Below are 24087 nucleotides of genomic sequence, written 5' to 3'. Positions count from 1 at the left end.
AACTACCAAACCATTTTCCAAAGTGACTGTAACCAATTTATCCTGTAGCCAGCAGTGTGTAAGAGTTCCAGTTACCCAAGTTCCTCCTCACTGCTTGATTTTAATGTTAGCCATTCTGGTGGGTGTGTACGGTTACCTCACCGTGTTTTTAACATTCGTTTCCCTGCAGGGTAATGAAGTTGAGCCTTTTCATAAGTTTATTGGCCATCTGTATATCCTCCTTTTGAAGTGCATCTTCAGATCATGTTCATTTTTCAACTAATCTACCTGGCTTTTTTCCATTTATTTCAATAAGGTTTTTATGTATTCTTATTTTGGTATAAAGTTATGATGGGAATGCATTGGGAGAATGATCCACCTTTCATCATTCTCTGGAGGAGTTTGTGGAAGAGTAGCATTTTTTTCTTAAATTTTTTGGTATAATTTGCTAGTGAAGCCACGTTGGCCTAGAGCTTCCTTAGAATGAAGATTTTTAATTATGGATCAATGTCTTCACTAAGAGCATTCAGGTTGTCTATTTTTTCTTGTGTTAGTTTGAGTAAGTTGCTTTATCAAGAGATTTTATTTTTTTATCTAAACAATGAAATTTATTTGAGCTTGTATCAGTTTGCTAGGGTACTGTAACAAAATACCACAGACTAGGTGGCTTAAACAACAGAAATTTTCTCTGAGTCTGTGGCTTGCCTCTTCAGGTTCTGGAGCCTGGAAGTCCAAGATCAAGGGGTTGGCAGGTTTCATTTCTCCTGAGGTCTCTCTCTTTGACTTGCAGAGGGCTGCCTTTTTTTTTTTTTTTTTTTCTCGAGACTGAGTCTCACTCTATTGCCCAGGCTGGAATGCAGTGGTGCGATCTCAGCTCACTGCAATCTCCGCCTCTCAGGTTCAAGGGATTCTCCTGCCTCAGCCTCCCAAGTAGCTGGGATTACAGGCACCCGCCACCATGCCTGGCTAATTTTTGTATTTTTAGTACAGACAGGGTTTCACCATGTTGGTCAGGATAGTCTTGAACTCCTGACCTCAAATGATCCACCTGCCTTGGCCTCCCAGAGTGCTGGGATTACAGATATGAACCACTGCACCCAGCCACACTGCCTTCTTATTATGTCTTCACATCCTGGTCTCTATGCACACATTCTTAGTTGCTCTTTCTCCTCTCATAAGGACACCAGTCACATCGGATTAGGGCCCCATCCCTACAAGCTCATTTAGCCTTAATTACCTCTTAAAAGGTCATATATCCAAATATGGTCACATTCGAGGTTAGGACCTCAACACGCAAATTTGGGGGTAGGGAATACAATTCACTTCATAACAGCATTTATAAAATCCTCTTATCTTTTTAATGTCTGTAGGATTAGTGTTGCTATCTTCCTTTTCATTTTAGGTAACCATTTGTGCCTACTTTCTTTCTTTGTCTTCTTTTAAAATCATTTTGTCATCTTTTTAATGTCTGAAAGGTCTGTGGTGGTGTCTCTATTTTTATTTCAAACATTAGTCTTCTGTGTATTCTTTATTTTTTAAAAAATTAATCTTATGAGAAGTTTATCAATTATGTTAGTATTTTCAAATGGCCAAATTTTAGCTTTGATGTTTGCTTTCTACTTCATTATTGTCTGTTGTAATATTTATTTCTTTTCTTCTGCCTCCTTGAAGTTTACTTGGCCATTTTCTTCCTAACTTATTGGAGTGGATGCTGGGTGTATTAATTCATTTTCACACTGCTATAAAGAACTATCCAAGACTGGGTAATTTATAAACAAAAGGGATTTAACTGATTCACATTCCACGTGGCTGAGGAGGTCTCAGGAAACTTACAATCATGGAAGAAGGGGAAGCAAGGCATGTCTTACATGGTGGCAAGAGAGAGAGAAAAAGAAGGGGGAAGTGCTAGACACTTATCAAACAACCAGATCTCATGAGAACTCACTCACTATCATGAGGACAGCATGGGGGAAACCACACACATGTTCCAGTCACCTCCAACCAGGTCCCTCCCTAGACATGTGGGGATTACAATTCAAGATGAGATTTGGGTGGGGACACAGAGCCAAACCGTATCACTTTGGTAATTAATTTTCAACACTTTTTTTTCTTTTTCAATATATGTACTTAAGGCATTTCCCACTAAGTACTTGTTTAACAGGAAGTTTTGACATCTAATATTTTTAATATCATTCAATTCAAATTTTTTTTGTTTCCATTATAATTGACTCTGTGCCTCACGGTTTATTTAGAAGTGTATTTCTTAATATTTTTATTGATTTTTTCTTTTTAAATCAATTTAATTTAGGTTCAAATTTACATACAATATATTATATGCATTTATACATAATACAGTTTTGTGAGTTTTGAAAAACATAAACATTAGTGTAACCATGACCACAATTAATATATTGAACATACATTTTCACTCCAAAAAAAGTTCTCCAACTCTACCTTTAACCACAACCACTAAACTGCTTTCTGTCATTGCAAACTAGTTTTGTTTGCTGTACAATTTTGTATAGATAGAATCACATATTATTTACTCTACCCTCTTTCATCATCGTAATGATTTTGAGACATAGCCATGATGTTGCATGTATCAGTAGCTTTTTGCTTTTTATTGCTGAAGAAGTGTTCCATTGAATGAATATATCACGATTTGTTTATCCATTCACTGTTTGATGAATATCTGAATTGTCTCCAGCTTTTTGTTATTACAAATAAAACTACAATAAACATTTATATATAATTCTTTTGTAGACATGTGTTTTCATTTCTTACATACAACATAGTAATGAAATTTCTGAATCATACAGTGAATGTGTTAACTTTACAAGAAATCGCCCAATTTTTTCTAAAGTGGTTCTACAACTTTAGAACCACTTTGCAGTTCTACAGTTCTCAGTAGTAATAAATGAGGTTCTAGTTTTTCTTTTCTTTTTTTTTTTGAGATGGAGTTTTGCTCTTGTTGCCCAGGCTGGAGTGCAATGGTGCAATCTCGGCTCACTGCAACCTCTGCCTCTTGGGTTCAAGTGATTCTCCTGCCTCAGCCTCTGGTTGGGGTTCAATCAGGCTGGTGGGAAAAATATTAGAGATAGTGTAGAGATAGACACAAATCTTCTTGGAAGGCCGAGAAGTTTGCATAACTTCTATAATAGATCTGGCTGAAGGTGGCCTGGTCCCTTTATCTTTAGTTAAACAAAATTAAAGTAGTAACAAAGGAAGGCAGAGTAGTTTACCTAGCTAGCTTGTTTACTCATATGATCTTAAGACTAACCTTTATTGTACCACAGGTACTTAAGTGCTTTTTACTCAGGAAGTCCACAATGTCAATTACCCTTTAATGGTGTTAGCTCAAGCCTTTATTAATTAATCTTACCAAATAAATGTGAGTCTCGCTAGCTGATCAGGGCCAAGTCACGACTGTTTACAGGACTCAGCAGGGAGTCTGTAAGCGGCTGAGACACACTCAGCTGGACAGGCAAAGCAGAATATCTGTGTGTCAGTGTACGTTATTCATCCGTCACCGGGTCAGGGGTCTGCAACGGACAGACCCCTCCCCGCAGCTGGCGCCCCCATAAGAGGTGCACTGCCACAGTTGGTGCCCCGTGTGGGAAACTGTGTGATGAGCACTGCCACAGCCTCAAGTACCTGGGATTACAGGCATGTGCCACCATGCTGGGCCAGTTTTTTGTACTTAGTAGAGACAGGGTTTCACCATGTTGGTCAGGCTGGTCTCCAACTGCTGACCTCAGGTGATCCATACACAGGCTGGTCTCCAACTGCTGACCTCAGGTGATCCATACACCTCAGCCTCCCAAAGTGCTGGGATTACAGGTGTGAGCCAGCACTCTCAGCCTGGTTATAGTTTTTCTGCATCTTCACTAACACAGGCTACTGCTAACCTTTTACATTTTGACCATCTTAGTGGTTGTAATTTGTATTTATCTTATGACTAATAATGTTCGGCATCATTCCATGTGCTTCTTGGCCATTAAGATATCTTTTGTGAAGTATGCATTCAAATCTTTTGCTCATTTTTTATTGAGTTTTTGTTATCCTCTTACCATTCAGCTGCAAGAGTTACTTATACATTCTGGACACAAATCATTTGTCATATATGAGTATTGCAAATATTTCATCTGAGTCTGTGGCTTGCTTCTTTGATTCTTAACAGTGTCTTTCGAAAAGCAAAGTTTTAAATTCAATGAAGTCCAATTATTATGACTAATTTTTATGATTAGTGCCTTTTTGTGATCTGTGTAAGAAATCTTTTCTTCTCCAAAGGCCATGAAGACATGAAGACTTTTCTCCTCTGTTTTTTTTTCTAATTTTTTTATAATGTTAGCTTTTTCATTTAGATCTAAAATCTATTTTGAGTTCATTCTTATGTACAACGTACAGGTTGAAGTTCACTTTTTGCATATAGATGCCTAGTTACTCCAGGACCATTTGTTGTTACTGATTTTCAACTTTATTAAATGTGTTTAGAAATCAAACACTATATAATTTGCATCATGAAATCTGGTGAGACTTCCTTTACGTTTCAGCATATAGCCAATTTTTATTGTGCTTGAAATTAGTAAGTATTCTCCAGTTGTTGGCTGCAATATTCTCTACATGTCCTTAGGTAAAATTTGTTGATTGCATTATTCAAGTTTTGTGTATTATTGCTGTTTTATATCTACTTATTTTATCAGCCACTGACAAGTGTGATAAAAATCTGTCAGTATGACTGTGACTCTATTCATTTCTGCCTTTTTGATTCCATATTACTGGATCTATACAAATTGAGAATTTTTATACCTTCTTGGTAAATTGATCCTTCTGGCATTATGAAATTCCTCTTTATCTCTACCAGTCTTTTTGCATTAAAAACAGCATTTTTAATCTTAACATAGCTACATCAAATTTCTTTTGGTTAGAGTTTTCATAGTGTTATCTTTTTTTTTCACCTTTTTATTCTAATCTTTCCACATTCTTGTGTTCTTGATATGTCTCTTGTAACCAACAAGGGTCTTCTTTCATTGCAATTTGAGCCTTTTAATTTGACCATATAGTCCATTTGCATTTGACATAAATACTGATATGTCTAGGAAGCTGTATTAGTTTGCTAGGGCTGCCACAACAAAATACCACAGACCTGACAGCTTAAACAATACATACTTGTTTTCTCATAGTTCTGGAGGCTAGAAGTCCAAATCAAGGCATCAGCTGGGCTGGCTTCTTCTGAGGCATCTCTCCCTGACTTGTAAATGGCTATCTTTTCCCTCTGTCTGCACATGATCTCTGCTCTGTGTCTCTGTATCCTAATATTCTCTTCTTATAGAGAGACCAGTCATTTTGGATCACATTTACCTTAATGATCACATTTAACCTTGATTACTTCTATAAAGGCACTATTTCCAAATAACGGTCACATTCTTAGGTATTGGAGGTTAGAATTTCAATATATGAATTTGGGGAAGAGAAGGGGACATAATTCAGTAGTAAGTATGTCATCAAGCAGATAAAATACCATCTATCATGTGTTTTCTATTTGTTCCATCTGTTCTTTGTTCCTTTTTTGTCTTTTCTCATCTTGTTTCGAATTGATTTCTTTATTATTACATCTTTTCTCTATTAGCATGAAAGTTGTACGTGCATTAACCATTCTTTTAGTGCTACCTGGAAATTATAACATGCATCCTTGGCTTATCAAAGCAGAACATTAATTGGTGTCTTTACCTACTCTCCAGACAAAGACCTTGGAACCCTTTAACTCCATTCAGCCCCATTCTTATTTATGTTTAAATTAGCCTACATTTTAAATCTAAATATATTTTAAATCCCACGATGTGTTATTATTATTGCTTATATAATCAATATGAATTTAAATTCATTCACATCATTGCCTAAAAACAAAAGTTCCTACTTTATTTATCTTTCTTTTGTTGTTCATGAAGTGAAACAACACTTCATTTGTCTCTTATGCTATCCTTGTGCAACATATAAAAACAGATATGTTCATCCTCTGGTGACGTAAGTGGAAGAACGACTAAAATTCCCGACTCTATAGAGTCCTAAGAGAGGAACCTACAGAAGTCAGAGGAAACTTCAATATCAAGAAGTTTGGAAAGAGGTAAATATTATAATACCCCATAAAGACAAAACTTCTGCCAAACTGGATGACATCGGTTCATTTCTGTGATGTTTATTTTGTTTTGTTGAAGAGGAAACTAGATGGGAAAAAAGCAAAGCTGAGAGAAAGGATGAGAGAAACATGCAAGGATTGAGAGAGTGTCTAGAGATGGAAAGAGGAGCTCCATGGAGACCTCCCAAGAGAGTGACCTGGGTGGCATAATAGCAACCAACATGAGTTGGAACTCAGAAACTGGTAGATGTTTGTCATTCCCAACCATAGGTCCTGGATTAAAGGAGCCCAGAAAATCATAGCAGAAGCCCAGATATCACACAAGTGACAGCAGAGCAGGCATCCTCCATGTTTATGAACTTCCTAGTAATACGATTCAGCTTAGAGCGCTGTAAATATTGTCAGTCCCTGCTCTTGGGCTTGTGAAAACCTGTCTGGAGCTTTGCAACTTGTGACTATTCAGACTCAATTAATGGAAATGAGCTGTGTTTTTAGGGTGAAAATATCCTTTCCTTTGCCAGCTTCCGAACCATGTGTCTTGCATTTTGAGACGAATCCAGTTGCGATGTTGACAGGTGCAGACTAACTACTCTTTCCACAACAAGCATTTGGAAACATTTTCCTGGTGGTCATGCTGCAAGTCTTGTGTATTAAAACTAGGGCATCAGGTTTGCTAAGTCAGCACACTCAACATAAGATATGTTAGAGACATAACTTCTGAGGTGAAGGGAATGATGGCAAATTTACATCAGAAGCTTTGTCTGCTGGTCCTTAAGATCAGTTGACTAATGGTCTTTGCCTCTGGGGTTTTTTCCATGCTCAGAAATAAGGACAAAGAAAAGACCTACTTAAAGATAACTAAAATGAGGAAATTTTCAGAAAATTGACTCTTTTTATATGATTGTTATTATAAGTTAACATTCATTCTGCTTGCCATGAGCCAGGCACTCATTATACTTAGCTCTTAGTGTGCATTACATCACCTTATTCAAATCTTACAGCAATCCTACCATATAGACACCACTGTTATTCCCATTGCAATAATTGGGAAGGTTTAGTAGCTTGCCCAAGTCAACTATGTGGAAGTGCCAAAGCCAGGAATCAAATGTGGCTTTCTTACTCTGAAAATAATGTCCTTAACAACTCCAATAAACTACACATTAAAATGAGCTTACCACCAGTATTATATCAACAATCGAGTTAATCACCATTACTATGTCTCATCTCACTAAAAACTTGCATATAGATGCATCTGCGCTGGATCTAATCGCCAAATGTCTGGTTCACCAAAGTGGTTTGTATCCAACTTTATGTGCCCTCTGAACTCAGTTGCATATGATGGGCAACAGTAAAAGCCACACTTTCAAAACCACGATGCAGCAAAGTTCTCAGGTGTGCTTCATTATCCTCCTTCCTTCTCCTCTAGCTCCGAATCTTCCACCTCTCCCAGTTCCATACTTCTTTGCCAGAGGCTGAGTGAACCATAGCAGAGAAGGACAAGTACAAGGAAGAGCATTTAGGAGAATGATCTATCATTTAAACAGGTGCAGCATGGAAAAAGAATAGAAACGTACATAGATCTGCACAAATTGCATGGCAATTCATCTGGGACATTAGATTTTGTAGCAAAGTGATATTTTTTAAATATGTATCTATGGTATCTCTTTTTTGGCCTTTTCTCCATTTTTAACAGCAAAGCTAATTTATGTTTATTGGTTAGGGCATAAGGTTGAGCTTAAAGAAGGAAGCAGAGAAACAAACAATATTTTTCCTGGCTCCAATGTTTTAAAAGCCTATGATGTTAGGAGTCTGGAAAGGATTCTTACCTTAGACAAAATGTTCCTCGGAAGACATCTTTAATTAAGGGGAAGGCCATGTATGAACCATATAGACACGAACAAGGAAGTCTCCGTGGTGACATGCTTGGGCCAATGAGGAAGGATCAAATCAGGCGGCAGATATCTTACCCAATGCCCATATAACCAGATTATATTAAAAAGTAGAAAAACCCATGAGACATCCAGTTCCCCTGAATTTAAATACAATGCCAGGGCAGGAAGAAACCTCAAATTAACTGAGATTACATTTTTCCGCCCTAGAGAAATAGGAGATTGAAATATAAATTAGATTGAATTTCAAAAATACATTATAAGTTGTTTTTCTCATACACTCAAGCTTCTGAACAAAGAGTCGTACCTATGACAATTTATACAATTGAATGCAAATCAGGAGAGCATTCACAGCTGACTTCCATCCAAAGGGAATCTTCGGAAAGGATAGAAAGGAAGAGGTTACCGGCCACAAGTTTGGGAGATTTCTGGACAGCAAAAGGGACAGGCCATGCTTCATTGCCAGGTCAACTCATATGAAAGGACAATTTGTCTCTTTGTAGACATCCCAGAGCAGGGACGTCAAACAATTTTGAAACACTTCTTTTTGGAAAAAGAGCCAAGATGTTACATAAAGTTAAAAAAACAGGTTTGCAGCCCAAGGCTCAAGACTAACACTGAACGCTCTCTCAATGTATTAGGAATCTTGTTTCCCTAAAAAGGGAGAGCTAAGCCTTTGCCCTATGGACATGATGCCATTGGTTGCTTTTCTCTTTGAGAGGAGTTAGATATGCTCCCTTTGTAGCCAACAAAGAAAGGGAGAAATCTGAGGACACATCTGTGCTGAATCTAATCGCCAAATGTCCGGTCTCAACAACGTGGGTTTGTATCCAACTTCATGTGCACCCTGAACTCAGTTGATGCCTTGGAGACAGGGCAGGGGAATAAAAAGCAAGAGAGGTGCATTCCATAAAAATAAGAGGCTCTTGACCTTTCTATTCAAAGCACACTCCAGGGATCATCAGGAGCAGCATTGCCTGGGAGCTTGTTAGAAATGCTGGATCTCTGGTCCCAACCCACATCTCCTTAATCCTGGTTTTCACACAAGATCCCTTGGTGATTTGGAAAGCTCATTAAAGTGTGAGAAGCACTTGTCTAGGAAGCCAGCCTCAAGCTTCCGGAAAAATCGAGACTCCTAGCTGTTCCAGCAGGAAGGATTCCTCATTCTGGGAGGTCTTGCAATCATAAGAATGGCATGGAGAAAATGACAGGCCCTGGAATTAGTCTGCCTGAGTTCAAAGCCTAGCTACTTTATCAGCTCTGGAGCCTTAAGCAACAGGCTCTCTGGACCTCAATTTCCTAATCTGTGAAATGGAGACAAAAATGATAATACTAGCCAGGTGTGGTGGCTCACGCCTGTAATCTCAGCACTTTGGGAGGCCAAGGTGGGAGGATCGCTCGAGGTCAGGAGTTCAAGACCAGCCTGGCCAACATGGTAAAACCCCATCTCTACTAAAAATACAAAAATTAGCTGGGCGTGGTGGCGTGCACCTATAGTCCCAGCTACTCAGAAGGCTGAGACAGGAGAATCGCTTGAACCTGGGAGGTAGAGGTTGCAGTGAGCCAAAATTGCGGCACTGCACTCCAGCCTGGGTGACAGAATGAGACCCTATCTCAAAAAAAAAAAAAAAAAAAAAGGGTAATACTGGAATTTAGTTCCCAGGGTTGTCATGAGGATTAGATGAAAGAAAATACATAAAATATTTAGAATAGTGCCTGGCACAAGGAGCCCTCAATAAAAGTTAGCTATTAGTATTTTTAAGAGAAAATGTCTTATGTTTTGGATTCCTAACAAAAGTGCTGAAACCATCTTGGAGAGTTCTTCCATGTTCTTCCTTCTCAGCTACAGAAAACACAAGGAATGATTTTAACTGCTTCTGACCAGTCTATGCTAAGTGGTGGGGCATGGAGCCAATTCTAGGGGGAAAAAAAAATGGCATAGTCACTGTTTCCCAAACCGTATTCATTCCAAAACTCCTTCAGTCTTTTTTTAACCATATCCATATACAACCCTTATGTGTTATTTTTATTTAAGTCAATTTACAATGAATTTTGTTTCTTAAGAGACACATCCAAAGCAATAAATATTATCTATGAAGTCAGTAGTTTAATGTGATTTTTTTCTAATTCACTTTAAAGTGAAACCATAAATATGAAAATTAAAATGTTCACACATACATAAAAATGTTACTTAGAACTCCAGGAAGTCTTTTCATTCCTACATTAGCATTTTATTAGCTCTCAGCTGTAATTCCAAATGTTTTGACATCAAATCTCTCCACTCAAGTGATTTGAGCAAAACCTTTGCTTCCAGCTCATGCAGCCCAGCTGAGGACCAGAGCCACCAAGCAATTTGTCCAAGCAACACAGCCAGTGCAAGGCAGAAAGATTAGACCACAGCTTTTCTGCAGTAGAGACGGCAAAAGCATCCTTATTCTCCCAACAGCACTGAGACAACAGCTGTGTCTGTGCCCCTATTCCTATTCTCTCTGCTTGGTGACTTTTGTCTTGTTCCTGTAATGATTGAAAGTCCCCTTCCTTTCACATCTAATATGATCACTGGATTCATACGACAGAGCTAAAGAAATGATTTCTAAATGTCATGCCTTTCCTTTTGCAGTTTTCCCACATCAGGGGGGCCAGTTTCTTTCGGGGCCATCAAGTTTTTTCTCACATAGCAAATGCAACAGCTTAGGTTTTCCTGCCACCCTACTTTTCACAGAGCATATGTCAAACAATGAGCCTCATGGGCCAGGTTCCCTGCTCCTCAATGATGCACAGCTTCTGCAAAAGGAATGCCTAAGCAAGCTCTCACGAGTGACAGCCTCCGGCCCAATTATTTCTTCTCCATGTTTTTTCTCTGTGAATTATCAAGTGACATTCTAGTGATTCTTGACAATGTTAATTAATGTAAAAGGAAGGAGAATAAATTAACCCAGTCTATCTGCTCTGCTTTATGGCGGGTATGATAATGTTCTAAGACGTTGTGTTATCAACATTCAGTTCCATTTAGTAAATATTTTTGAAGGGCTCCAGACAAGCTACAATTACTAGAGGCTGCACAGGTTTCAAGAGTTGGATCTTACAACCCTTACAACAGAGGGATGTGTCTATTCCATAGACTCGCCAAACAAAAAGTTTTCAACTTGTGTTTATCCGAATCATGCATTCTCAAAGGGGGCAATATTACAACCCTACTCAACAAAATCTTATTCTTTAGTATTTAATTTCTCGTATCAGGGAGAAATTTAATGTAATTTAATTAACTTAATTTACAATTAAATTAGCTTGTCATTTTACTTTAATTTAATAATTTCAATTTAATTTTTTCTGGGGGGAGGATAATAACAGAAAAAACGGTTGAGAAACACTGCTCTAAATGCAACGATAATTCAAATATACTCCTCCTTTGACCCAGCAGTTCCGTTACAGGAAAGGGGTCCCGATCCAGACCCCAAGAGAGGGTTCTTGGATCTCCCGCAAGAAAGAATTCAGAGCAAGTCTGCAGTGCAAAGTGAAAGCAAGTTTATTAAGAAAGTAAAGGAATAAAAGAATGGCTACTCCATAGACAGAGCAGCCCCAAGGGCTGCTGGTTGCCCATTTTTGTGGTTATTTCTTGATGAGATGCTAAACAAGGGGTGGATTATTCATGCCTCCCCTTTTTAGACCATATAGGGTAACTTCCTGATGTTGCCATGGCATGTGTAAACTGTCATAGGACTGGTGGGCATGTAGTAGTGAGGATGACCAGAGGTCACTCTTGTCACCATTTTGGTTTTGGTGAGTTTTGGCCAGCTTCTTTACTGCAACCTGTGTTATCAGCAAAGTTTTTATGACCTGTATTTTGCACTGACCTCCTATCTCATCCTGTGACTTAGAATGCCTTAACTGTCTGGGAATGCAGCCCAGTAGGTTTCAGCCTCATTTTACCCAGCTCCTATTTAAGATGGAGTTGCTATGGTTCACATGCCTCTGACAATTCCACTTCCATTATTTGTCTCAGAGAAAGAGTCCCTGGAAGAAACAAAGTCATTTGTTGCTGACTATATCATCATTTTTAACAGGGAAAACAACCTAAATGTCCATCATTTGGAAATAGTTCAATAAACTATAGTGCATCTATATTATGCATGCCTGTAATCCCAGCACTTTGGGAGGCTGAGGTGGGCGGATCACTTGAAGTCAGGAGTTCAAGACCAGCCTGGCCAACATGATGAAACCTGGTCTCTACTAAAAATACAAAAATTAGCCAGGTGTGATGGCACAGACCTGTAATCCCAACTACTTGGGAGGCTGAGGAAGGAGAATCGCTTGAACCCAGGAGGCAGAGGTTGCAGTGAGCCGAGATCGTGCCACTGCACTCCAACCTGGGTGACAGAGCCAGACTCCATCTCAAAAATAAATAAATAAGTAAAAGGAATGAGGTAAGCTTAGGGAAACTGACATGGAGAGAGAGGCCTCCAAGCCTGATACAGTTGGGCTGCGTCCCCACCCAAATCTCATCTCGAATTATAGCTCCCATAATTCTCACATTTGTGAGAGGGACCCAGTGGAAGATAATTGAATTATGGGGGCAGTTTCCCCTATACTAGTCTCATGGTAGTGAATAAGTCTCACGAGATCTGATGATTTTATAAGGGATTTCCCCTTTTGCTTGGCTCTCTCATTATTTCTTGTCTGCCACCATGTAAGATGTGCCTTTCGCTTTCTACCATGATTGTGAGGCTTCCTCAGCCTTGTGGAACTATGAGTCCATTAAACCTCTTTTTCTTTATACATTACCCAGTCTCAGGTATGTCTTTATCAGCAGAGTGAAAATGGACTAATACAAAGTCATATTATGGGTTGGAAAAAGCACTCTGCAGAATATGTGTGCATGATCACTTTTAGATTAAAAAACACACACAACAGATCTATGTATTTCTGTTTGTGCATGCTCTATATGTAAATGCAAAAGAAAGTCAATGGAAGGTTACCCACAAAAGTGATAAACTCAGACTACCCTTGGGGATAAGGATGAATTTGACAACAGAGAGGTGGTTGAATTGGCAGATGCACTATTTTATTTATTGTTTTCTGTGTGCTTTCTTTCACATTTTGCACAAGAATAAGTCCTGAATGACTCATAGAAATAAGAATAATAAATAAACAAATATTTATAAAAATCAACCCTTCCTCACCTAAAGAAAGGAAGAAAAGATCTCTTCAGCCCTAAAGAAAAGATTTGTCACTTGATTTCTAATAAAATCAGGAAGTCGAAAGCCTCTGTGCTTCACTTGGATTATAGTTTTTGTCTTTTTAATCAAATTATAGAAAAATGACATAAAGCTATGCTAGGTTTAAAAAAAAAATTCCTAAGGCTTGAAGTAATCAAAGAAATCAAATAGTCAAGAGAAATGGATTTTACTATCTAAAAATGAAACACTGGTGGGCAAGACCTCTAGAGGATGGTTGGCAACAGGTATCAACATGTAAATAAGCATACCTTTCCACAAGCAGTCACAATTCTAGGAATTACACAAGGATGTTCATTACTGCGTGCTGTACAATAGAGAAAAACTAGAAATCACTTGAAAGTCCATTAATATGAGATTAATAAGCAAAATAAGGCAGATCTATATAGAAGAATACTTTGTATTCATTCCCAATGATGATCTATATTTATTGGAAATGGAAAGAGATCTACAAGGTATTATTGTATTAAAGAGTGTATTAGGCCAGGCATGGTGGCTCACACCTGTAATCCTGGCACTTTGTGGAGCTGGGGAGAAAGATCACATGAGCCCAGGAGTTCATGACCAGCCTGAGCAATACAGCAAAACCCCCATCTCTACAAATGGTGGTGGTGGTCCCGGCTACTCGGGAGGCTGAAGCAGGAGGATCAGTTAAGCCTGGGAAGTCCAGGCTGCAGTGAGCCAAGACTGCACCACTGCACTCCAGCCTGGGAGGCAAAACATTCTTTTACTTGAAGTCTAAATCCAGTTTTGGGGGTACCAGCCCTATCTCCACTTGGCTTCAAGAACATTAGCAGCTAGACTTAGACCACAGGAAGGGTCTTATAGGATTCCTTTTTAAGGAAACTGATTAGTCCAGGAGAAAAATCCTACAGACACTGATATCTGAAAGTCTCCCAGTGAAATGCCAGGTTACTACTTGATCACTTGACAGTGAAGTTCCAAATTGACAGGCTTTTGTCAATTACCCACCAGTGTAGAGTTTGCATTTTAGTGTCTCTCTGGTAAGTATAAATGAACAGCCTAGAAGAGTTAGACATTGACGTCAGCTTTTACGTAGTTTTGCATTGCTTTGAATTGGTATGTTACAAAGTTGGGTCCCAGCTCTCTTCCAAGCTTTGAATGTCAAAAAAAAAAAAAAAAACGTTGAGGGTCAGGGGGCAGGGTGGGAAACAAACTAAGAGAAAAAATTTCATGGAAATAAAGACAATGCAGATGGCAAAATGACTTTTTTAACTATAATAAATATCCTCAGAGAAATAGTTATATTATTATACAATGATGGTCTATAAAAAGAGATAATAAGAGAATAAGAAACAGCTCTTGGAAATTAAAAGAATAATTGTAGAAATTTTTAATTTGATAGAATGTTTGAAATGAAATAGAGTTGAAAAAATCTACCAACAAGTAAAACTCAAAGATAAAATAAGGAAAATAAGAGAAAAAAGATAGAAAAACTAAAGGGTCTATTCAAGAAATTCTACATCCAAAAAAAGGGAAAAAAGAAGGAAGAAAAGAAGAAATGTTACAAGAAAAAGAGTACATGGAAAACAGAAGGGAAGAAATTTGCAAAGAAATAACACAAGGAGTGAAGGCCGTGATTTTCCAGACTGGAAGTTTTCATCAAGTGTTCAGCACAATAAATAGCGGGGAAAAGACCCACAAGGCACATAACGATGAAATTCAACAACAACAACAACAAAGTTCAGAACAAAGAGAAAAGAGCAGATCAAATGGAATGAACAAGGCTTCAGAATGCTATTGGAATTGAACAATGAGCAGAACCTTCAAAATTCTGGAGAAAATAATGCCCAATGTAATTTGATATTCAGCCACGATGTTCTTTATTTGAATAAAGATATTTGCAGACATGCAAGAATACAAAAATTTACTTCTCATGAATTCTTTCTTGGGAGGTGTATTAGTCTGTTTTCATACTGCTTAAAAGAACTGCCTGAAACTGGGTAATTTACAAAGGAAAGAGGTTTAATTGACTCACAGTTCAGGCATGGCTGGGGAGGCCTCAGGAAACTTACAATCATGGCAGAAGGCAAAGAGGAAGCAAGGCACCTTCTTCACAAGGTGACAGAAAGGAGAAGTGCCGAGCAAAGAGGGAAGAGCCCCTTATAAAACCATTAGATCTCATAAGACCTCACTCACTATCATGAGAACAGCATGGGGGAAACCGCCCTTCTCCCCCACCTCCCCCAATCCCCCTTCCCCCTCCCCGCCCCCGCCATGATTCAATTACTTCCACCTGGTCTCTCCCTTAACACGTGGGGATTATGCAGATTACAACTCAAGATGAGACTTAGGTGGGGACACAAAGCCTAACCATATCAGGAGGTTCTTGGAGAATATTCTCCATCAAAATAAGAAAGTACACCCAGAAAGTAAGGGCTTGTGATTTGAGAAACAGAGATCCAACCCAGAACAGGAGTTACAGGATTTTTCAGGAATGGCAGTAAAGAGACATCTTAAGACCTGTAGGCCTAGAAAGCAACCAGACCAGATGAGAAAAGCAGAACAAGGATCAGAGTGAGAGGGTGTCAAGAAAAGATGATGAAATTGAGGGAGTACCTGAGCTGTCAAATGTATTCTCAGATTATCCATTCACTTAGAAAGTTAAGGATTGAATTAGTAATGGATGCAATGGAAACCTAAAGCGAATAATGGAGGAAGCAATTATTAAGCCCAAGAATACAAAAAGTTGTGTGAGACACGCAATTGCAGCTCAGTGGTGAATCACAGCTATATAATCATTGTAGTGTAAATATACGATGTTGATTTACCCAAGAATGGGAGGTGGGAGAAATAAAAATGCGTGGCTACAGCACGAGGGCAACCCAGACATGTGAGGACCACCCTTAACCAAGGAGGGACTGCAGCCAGTGCACTGGTATCTCCACCCTCCTGCCCTCTAGCGGGACAATTCTGAGGTATGCTCCATAGTCTCTCAAAGGGCTCCCAGCATGACTGAGCTCAGATCGTCCACAGTGACAATCCACTCACTAAATGGACCCTTCGTTGACTATTCTCTCTTCATTCTCTCGTTCTCCCTTCATTCTTGCTTGTGCTTCCTCGGAGTGCCTTTTGATTAAATTGTGTACTGTATTAGTCCATCTTCACGCTGCTGATAAAGACATATCCGAGACTGGGTAATCTATAAAGAAAAAGAGGTGGGTGGGCACGGTAGCTCAGGCCAGTAGTCCCACAACTTTGGGAGGCCGAGACGGGAAGATCACCTGAAGTCAGGAGTTCGAGACCAGGCTGGCCAACATGGTGAAACCCCCGTCTCTACTAAAATTACAAAAATCAGCTGGGTGTGGTGGTGTGTGCCTGTAATCCCAGCTACTCGGGAAACTGGAGCAGGAGAATCGCCTGAACCCAGGAGTTGGAGGTTGCAGTGAGCTGAGATTACACCATTGCACTGCAGCCTGGGTGACAAGAGTGAAACTCTGTCTCCAAAAAAAAAGAAAAAGAGTTCTTTTTCACAGTTCCACATGGCTGTGGAGGCCTCACGATCATGGTGGAAGGCAAAAGGCACTTCTTATATGGCAAGAGAGAATGAGGCCCAAGCGAAAGGGGTTTCTGCTTATAAAACCATCAGATCTCATGAGACTTACTCACTACCATGAGAACAGTATGAGGGAAACCACCCCATGATTCAATTGTCTCTCACTGAGTCCCTCCCACAACACATGGGAATTATGGGAGCTATAATTCAAGATGAGATTTGGGTAGGGACATAGCCAAACCATATCATGTACTGTCTTTATCTCTGTGTCTCCTTCACGCAAGGTTGCCAGATTTAGCAAATAAAAATACAAAACGCCCCACTAAATTTGAATTTCAGATAAATGACAAATCATGTTTTCATACAAGTTTGCCCATGCTATACTTGGGACATACTTGTATAAAAAATGATTTGTTGTTCAACTGAAATTCAAATTTAAATGAGCATCCTACATTTTATTGGCAACTCGACTATTGTGGGGAACAAAAACTAAGACAGAGGTAGAGCCTCTTGTTTTCTAGTAAGATGTCAATAGTAATACATAAAACCAAAAATCGAGAAAGAGTTCCTTAAGCATATTATTTTAAGATATGAAAGCAGGCCGGGCGTGGTGGCTCACGCCTGTAATCCCAGCACTTTGGGAGGTTGAGCGGGTGGATCACCTGAGGTCAGGAGTTCAAGACCAGCCTGGCCAACATGGTGAAACCCTGTCTCTACTAAAAATCAAAATTAGCTGGGCGTGGTGGCACATGCCTGTAATCCCAGCTACTTGGGAAGCTGAGGCAGGAGAATCGCTAGAACCCAGGAGGTAGAAGTCACAGTGAGCCAAGATCACTCCACTGCACTCCAGCCTGGGCAACAAGAGCAAAATGCCGTCTCAAAAAAAAAAAAAAAAGCAAATAGCGAAAGAACTTGCTAAAAGAGTGGACAACAGTTGGCTCCAGGGAACAGGATCTAGTGTGAGAAGGGGTGGGGCAGGAGATTACTATCTTTTATATTATTCCTCATGGTACCACTGGACTTTTTAAAAGCTCTGTACATGTATAACTTTGATTACAAGTCTTTTGTAAAAGAAAAATTGAACCATGTATTTACATTCCCATCCACAGTCTCTCTCCTCACTTTGACACATCACATTTCTTTTGTTCTTAACTAATCTGGTGGGTGAAAAAAAAGTTACAATTTATTACTTCCAGATACTAATAATTTTGAACATTCACATCCCTATGTTTCTTGAATATTCCTAATTATCCTTTTACAAATTAGCTATAATGTCTTCAGCCGAATTTTCCTTCATGGTGTTATTTGTAAAAATTTCAGTGTTCACTTTTATTACATTTTAATACGATATACATGATTGACATGACTTTTAACTCCAAATCAAGTTTGTACTGAGAGATGGTGATTTATTAGTTTGAATCAGTGGAAAGACTCCATAATTGCCAACTTTGAAAACACACACACACACACACACACACACACACACAGAGTGAAACACAACCATTGGGGTCCTACCCTTCGTATGCAGAGGGACCTCCACAGCCGACTTTTGGGTATTCATCAGACCTCTGGATTTATTTTTTTTTTTTCTTTTTTTTTGAGATGGAGTCTCACTCTGTCACCCAGGCTGGAGTTCAGTGAATCTCAGCTCACTGCAACCTCTGCCTCCCGGGTTCAAGCGATTCTCCTGCCTCAACCTCCCAAGTAGCTGAGACTACAGGCACACGCCATTACGCCTGGTTAATTTTTTTTGTATTTTTAGTAGAGACAGGGTTTAACCATGTTGGCCAGGCTGGTCTTGAACTCCTGATCTTGGGATCCACCCACCTCAGCCTCCCAAAGTGCTGGGATTACAGGAGTGAGCCACAGCACCTGGCCTATCTTGTTTTTCTTAACCTCTTTTTGCTTTTAACTGGATTCCTTCACTTAAAAAATAAAATCTCATTTGGTGAAGCATGTATTCATCTTGGAGAAGTAACCACAGTTTCATGTTAACAATACTTTTTTACTGATATACAATATTTTATGGATTTATGGGGTACGTGTGATATTTTGTTACATGCATAGAATGTGTGATTAGCGAGTCAGGGTTTGGTGACAGCTAGAATGGCTCGGAAGCAGTGTCTCTCATAAAATTACAACCAGGATGTCAGTGGAGGGTGGGGAGGCAGGGACCGGAATGCCCACTTCTAAGGCGGCTCACTCCCATGGCTGTCGGCAGGACGCCTTACATCCTCACTGGCTGTTGGCAAGAGGACTCAATTCCTCACCATGTGTACCTCCTGCTTGGGACTGCTTGAGTGTCTTCATGACACAGTGGCTGGTTTTCCCAGAGTGAGGGATTTAAAGAGTAAGAGAGGCCAGGCGCGGTGGCTCACGCCTGTAATCCCATCACTTTGGGAGGCTGAGGCGGGTGGATCACCTGAGTTCGAGACCAGCCTGACCAACATAGAGAAACCAATCTCTACTAAAAATACAAAATTAGCGGGTGTGGTGGCGCATGCCTGTAATCGCAGCTACTCGGGAGGCCGAGGCAGGAGAATCGCTTGAACCCAGGAGGCAGAGGTTGCCATGAGCCGAGATCATGCCAATGCATTCCAACCTGGGCAACAAGAGTGAAACTCCATCTCAAAAAAAAAAAAAAGAGTAAAAGGGATGCAGCAATGTTTGGATGCCAGGCCTCAGAAGTCACACTCTGTCTTCTCTGCAATACCAGACACAAATCATCCCTGCTCAGAGTGGAAGGGGATTACACAAGGGTGTGAGAACCAGAAGGCAGAGATCACAAGGGACCCTCTGAAGACTGGCTACTATAGGTATATATTTTTCTTAGTTTGTGTAAATCTTATTACAGCAAAATGGGACAAAACCAGATGAAAGAGGTAACTATTACACTGTGTGGTGTTCAAAACGTGTTACTATTTTTCATCAAAACTAAAATTCTATCACCTGAAGGACAAACTGTTATTTTTTGTACCTTTAAAAAGTAAATAAAACACTGTCAGTTAAGTTATAACACAGTTTATCAGTTTGAGGTTTTATTTTCTACTTATTGAGAAGACTTTTGTACTTATATTTAGTGACTGTCATAGAATTACTCTTGTGTCTTCATGAGAAAGAGAATATAAGAGAAAGAAAAATTCAGTCTGAATGTTCACATTGCATGCCTATATCAAAGTATCTCATGCATCCCACAAATATAGATGCCTACCATGTACCCACAAAAATTAAAAATTAAAACAAATTTAGTTCTGCCTGGCTGACAGTAACTGCAAGATGCATTTCTAATTTCAGAGATGTTAAAATATGAAAAATAGGCATCTTTAAGGAATGATATATAACATTTTTTTAAACTTCCCAACAGCCCTGCGAAACAATGATTGTTTTTACAGAAGAGGATGCCAAAATTTAATTAGATAAAATTGCTTCCTTAAAGTCACACATCTAGTTAAGACAGAACAGATACTTGGCTCCAGGTTCCTCTGACTCTACAACCAAAGCACATAACTCCTGCATGTTCCTGCCTCTCAGGTCAGTATGGTTATCCTCATTGCCGGCATCACTGACACCCTTATCAACATTGTCACAGACACAACCATCGCTGTTGTCACCACTATCATTCCTGTCACCACTATAATTACCATGGTTTTATCATTGTCACTGCCACCATAATTGTTGTTGTCAACATCATCATCATCATAGCTAATATTTACTGAGCATGTACTATGTGCTAAGCTCTGTGCTAAGGGCTTTACATGGTTTGCCTCATAACTACCCTATAGGTAGGTTTATCATTACCCTATTCTACAAATATTAATAGTGAGGCTCAATAAGATTAACTAATTTGTTCTAAGTTATTCAGCTGAGGTCTGAATAGCAGGGTTGAATTCAAATCCACTGACTATAGAAACCACACGCAGTATCTGACTATAGAAACTACTACAAGCCGGGCGCTGTGGCTCATGCCTGTAATCCCGGCACTTTAGGAGGCCGAAGCGGGTGGATCACATACGCTCAGGAGTTCGAGATCAGCCTGGGCAACATGATGAAACCCTGTCTCTACAAAAAAATACAAAAACTAGCCAGGCATAGTGATGTGTGCCTGTGGTCTCAGCTACCCAGAGGGCTGACATAGGAGGACAGCTTAAGCCCAGGAGGCAGGGAGGGATTGCAGTGAGCAGAGATCACACCACTGCACTCCCACCTGGGTAATAGAGCGAGACTCTGTCTCAAAAAACAAGAAAAGAAAAGGAAGTACTACTGTGTACGCTATTAAATACAGTATACAGCAAATCATAGGGCCTCAGTAAGTGATGTATATACTTGTGCCTAACCCAGTGACTGGCATATAGGCAATAAACAATTACAAAAGCACCACCAATGATCGAAGCTAATGTTCATTGAGCAATTACTATGTGCCAGTCATGATGTTAAATGCTTCACAGTTTATTGCTGTTAGTCCTCATATTACCCTTATGAGGTAGGTACAATTTTTATCCTCAGTTTACAGGTGGGGACATTGAAGGGTAGAGAAATTAAGAAAGTGTTCAAGGTTGCACTATCAGTGAATGACCCAGCCATAGTTCAAACCCAAACAGTGTCATTTAAAAGCCCATGTTTTTGATTACCATACAATATTGTCTCCTACAAGAAATGTTATGAGCGAATTTGTTTTCATTGATTCACCCCACAAATATTGTCTGAGTACATACCATAGGTCATGTGTTTGCCAAGTGCTATAGATATAATACAGAATAAAAAAAAAGATAGACCTTTCCTCCATGGAAATTACAGTGTGGAGAAAGTACCAATAAAAACAAAAGCTACGAAGACCATGTAGATACAGGGATGTTCAATCTTTTGGCTTCCCTGGGCCACATTGGAAGAAGAAGAATTGTCTTGGACTACACATAAACTACACTAACACTAACATTACTTGATGAGCTACTGAAAAAAAAAAAAAAGTCCATGCACAAATCTCGTAATGTTTTAAGAATGTTTATGAATTTTGTGTTGGGCTGCATTCAAAGCCATCCTGGGCCACATGTGGCCTGTGGGCTGCAGGTTGGACAAGTTGATGTAGAAAGATGGCGATATTAATAGAACACTCATATTTACATCCTACCCTTCCCAAAACTCCACTAAGAAGATGCTGAGATGGTAATGATGATGACTAATATTTATTGAATGTTCTCTGGGTGCCAGACGTTAATCTGGGCACTTTACATGTGTTGTCACTTTCCAACCTTATAACAATCCATTTTACAATTGAAGAATCTAAGGCAAAGAGAGGTTAAATAACTTGTCCAAAGTCACATAGTTAGTATGCGGCAAAGCAAGTGTAAGAATCTAAAGCTTGTGCTTTAATGCATCTCTTTCCACAGTAAAGGAGAAAAAAATACATAAATTCTCACAAACAGAGACATCAGGACAAGAGATGTCCTGAATGGGAAAGATAAACAGTTTTGAGGAAGGAGAAACAGGGCAGAGGGAGTAACTTCTTTAGCAGGGCAGAGAAAGCTGTGAATAAAAGCAGAGGGCTGAGAATAGACCTGCCTCTCCCCACCACAGAGAGTCAGAGAAACTCATAAGCTGGGGACATCTGATATCACAGAGTGTAGGAGGGGGACACAAGAGCAACCCTGGAGGCTAAGATGGAATTCAGTATTTATAACAGTCAGCACCTTCACCTACTCCCACACACAGAGTGCCAGAAACCAGGAACTGACCCTCCACCCCAAGGAGAGGTTGGCAGGGAGACTTACCAGCTTCCCGTATCTCCCTCCACATGGAGGCAGGACACGCTCTGGCCTTGCCCACCCTCCCACTAGCCTCTCCCACAGGGCAGTAAAGGTGAGTCTGGGAGAAAGAACCGGTCAGACTTAGTTCAGCTCCACCCTTTCCTCCTGGGAGTGAGTCTTTCCAAGACAGAGCATGTTTTTTTCTACCCCTCAGTGAGAACAGTCGTACCATGGGAGGAGTCCTGTCCCAGTTCAGCATTGCCCGTGATTGGCTGCCTAAGTTTCCCAGTTCTGGGGTTGAGTTTGCAGGCCCACTGGACTCTTAGACTAAACTGCATCCTCTACCTGACTCTTCAATTGTTTAATAAAAGTGGTTTCTTGGTCTTTCATCTGCCTTACCTCTTTTCCCACATTATTTCTCAATATGCCAAAGTTTGGGTTAATTTTTTAAAAAGGAGAGACAAAGGGAGGAAGAAAGAGAAAGACAGAGCCAGAAAGGGAGAAAAGAAAGAAAGAAAGAGAGAGAAAGAGAAAGAGAAAGGGAAAGGAAAGGAAGGGATTTGTGCTAAATGTCATCCTTGGAGAGATATGAGAAGATAATGCATCCATAAAACAACCTTAACATAACATCCTTGGAAAGATATGAGAAGATAATGTATCCATAAAACAAGAATTTATTAATCAGTGAGGAAAGAAGAGCTCTTAATAAATAAAGCTAGAGCACGCAAAGTAAAAATTTCTATGGAACTTTATCTTTCCATGAATATAAAGTTCATCCCAGTTTCCTTCCCACAAAGATAGCAAATAGAGATCAGGAAATAAAAATTATGGGCAAAAGCAAGACATGAGAGAAAGGATTAACCCAGAAAACCTAACAGTCAAATAACAGGAATAGAAGTTTCCGTTCCAGACAAACAGAAAACAGGTAAAGAAAAATACACACACACACACACACACACACACACACACATTTATACACATACATACAGGAGTAAAAGCTAGCAGCCTGTAGACTGAAAGAATATACAAGGAAGCCAGCATCAGAAGGAAAAATAGAGCTAAATTATCACAGAACTTTACAAATCATGAATAAATAAAAGATCTTAAAAAGATCTTAGAGGCCAAGCGTGGTGGCTCATGCCTGTAATCCCAGCACTTTGGGAGGCTGAGGTGGGTGGATCACGAGGTCAGGAGTTTGAGACCAACCTGACCAACATGGTGAAACCCCGTCTCTACTAAAAATACAAAAATTAGCCAGGTGTGATGGCACATGCCTGTAATCCCAGCTACTCAGGAGGCTGAGGCAAGAGAATTGCTTGAATCCAGGAGGTGGAGGTTGCAGTGAGCCAAGATTGCGCCACGGAACTCCAGCCTGGGCGACAGAGCAAGACTCTGTCGCAAAAAAAAAATAATAATAATAATTTAGAGGGAAAAAATGGTGGAGGAAATGCTAAAGTCAGACTTCTCAGCCTCAATATTGAAGAGGATCTTTACAAAGTATTATGAAACTATTACCAAGACACATTGCTCACTGAAAAGCGCAAGGTGCAGAACAATGCACTTAGTGTGCTACCAAGTGTGTTAAAAGAGA

General features: G+C 39.7%; 1 long non-coding RNA gene across 1 annotated transcript in view, besides 2 other annotated features; it reads right to left on the bottom strand.

The window, feature by feature from the left end:
- LINC01482 (long intergenic non-protein coding RNA 1482) overlaps positions 1-22553 on the bottom strand; it is a 51453-nt gene extending 28900 nt beyond the window's left edge. Inside the window, exons 1-2 of the long non-coding RNA NR_110825.1 lie at positions 22521-22553; positions 7942-8037 (exon numbers count right to left, since the gene is read on the bottom strand). This is a non-coding gene — a long non-coding RNA (long intergenic non-protein coding RNA 1482). The remainder of the gene's footprint in view (positions 1-7941; positions 8038-22520) is intronic.
- Positions 18620-19119: an enhancer, noted in NCBI's record as "H3K27ac hESC enhancer chr17:66627729-66628228 (GRCh37/hg19 assembly coordinates)". NCBI's record gives its function as "activates a minimal SCP1, AML or CMV promoter by ChIP-STARR-seq in naive H9 embryonic stem cells {active_cell/tissue: H9 hESC(naive)}" and the evidence as "EXISTENCE:reporter gene assay evidence [ECO:0000049][PMID:30033119]".
- Positions 22245-22539: a silencer, noted in NCBI's record as "tiled region #13674; K562 Repressive DNase matched - State 22:ReprW". NCBI's record gives its function as "represses a minimal TATA promoter and a strong SV40 promoter by Sharpr-MPRA in K562 cells {active_cell/tissue: K562}" and the evidence as "EXISTENCE:reporter gene assay evidence [ECO:0000049][PMID:27701403]".

The sequence above is a fragment of the Homo sapiens genome, chromosome 17 (assembly GCF_000001405.40).
Source record: "Homo sapiens chromosome 17, GRCh38.p14 Primary Assembly".
Taxonomy (NCBI): Eukaryota; Metazoa; Chordata; class Mammalia; order Primates; family Hominidae; genus Homo; species Homo sapiens.
Note: the sequence above shows the minus strand (reverse complement) of the source record. Positions and strands in the feature narration are given on the sequence as shown.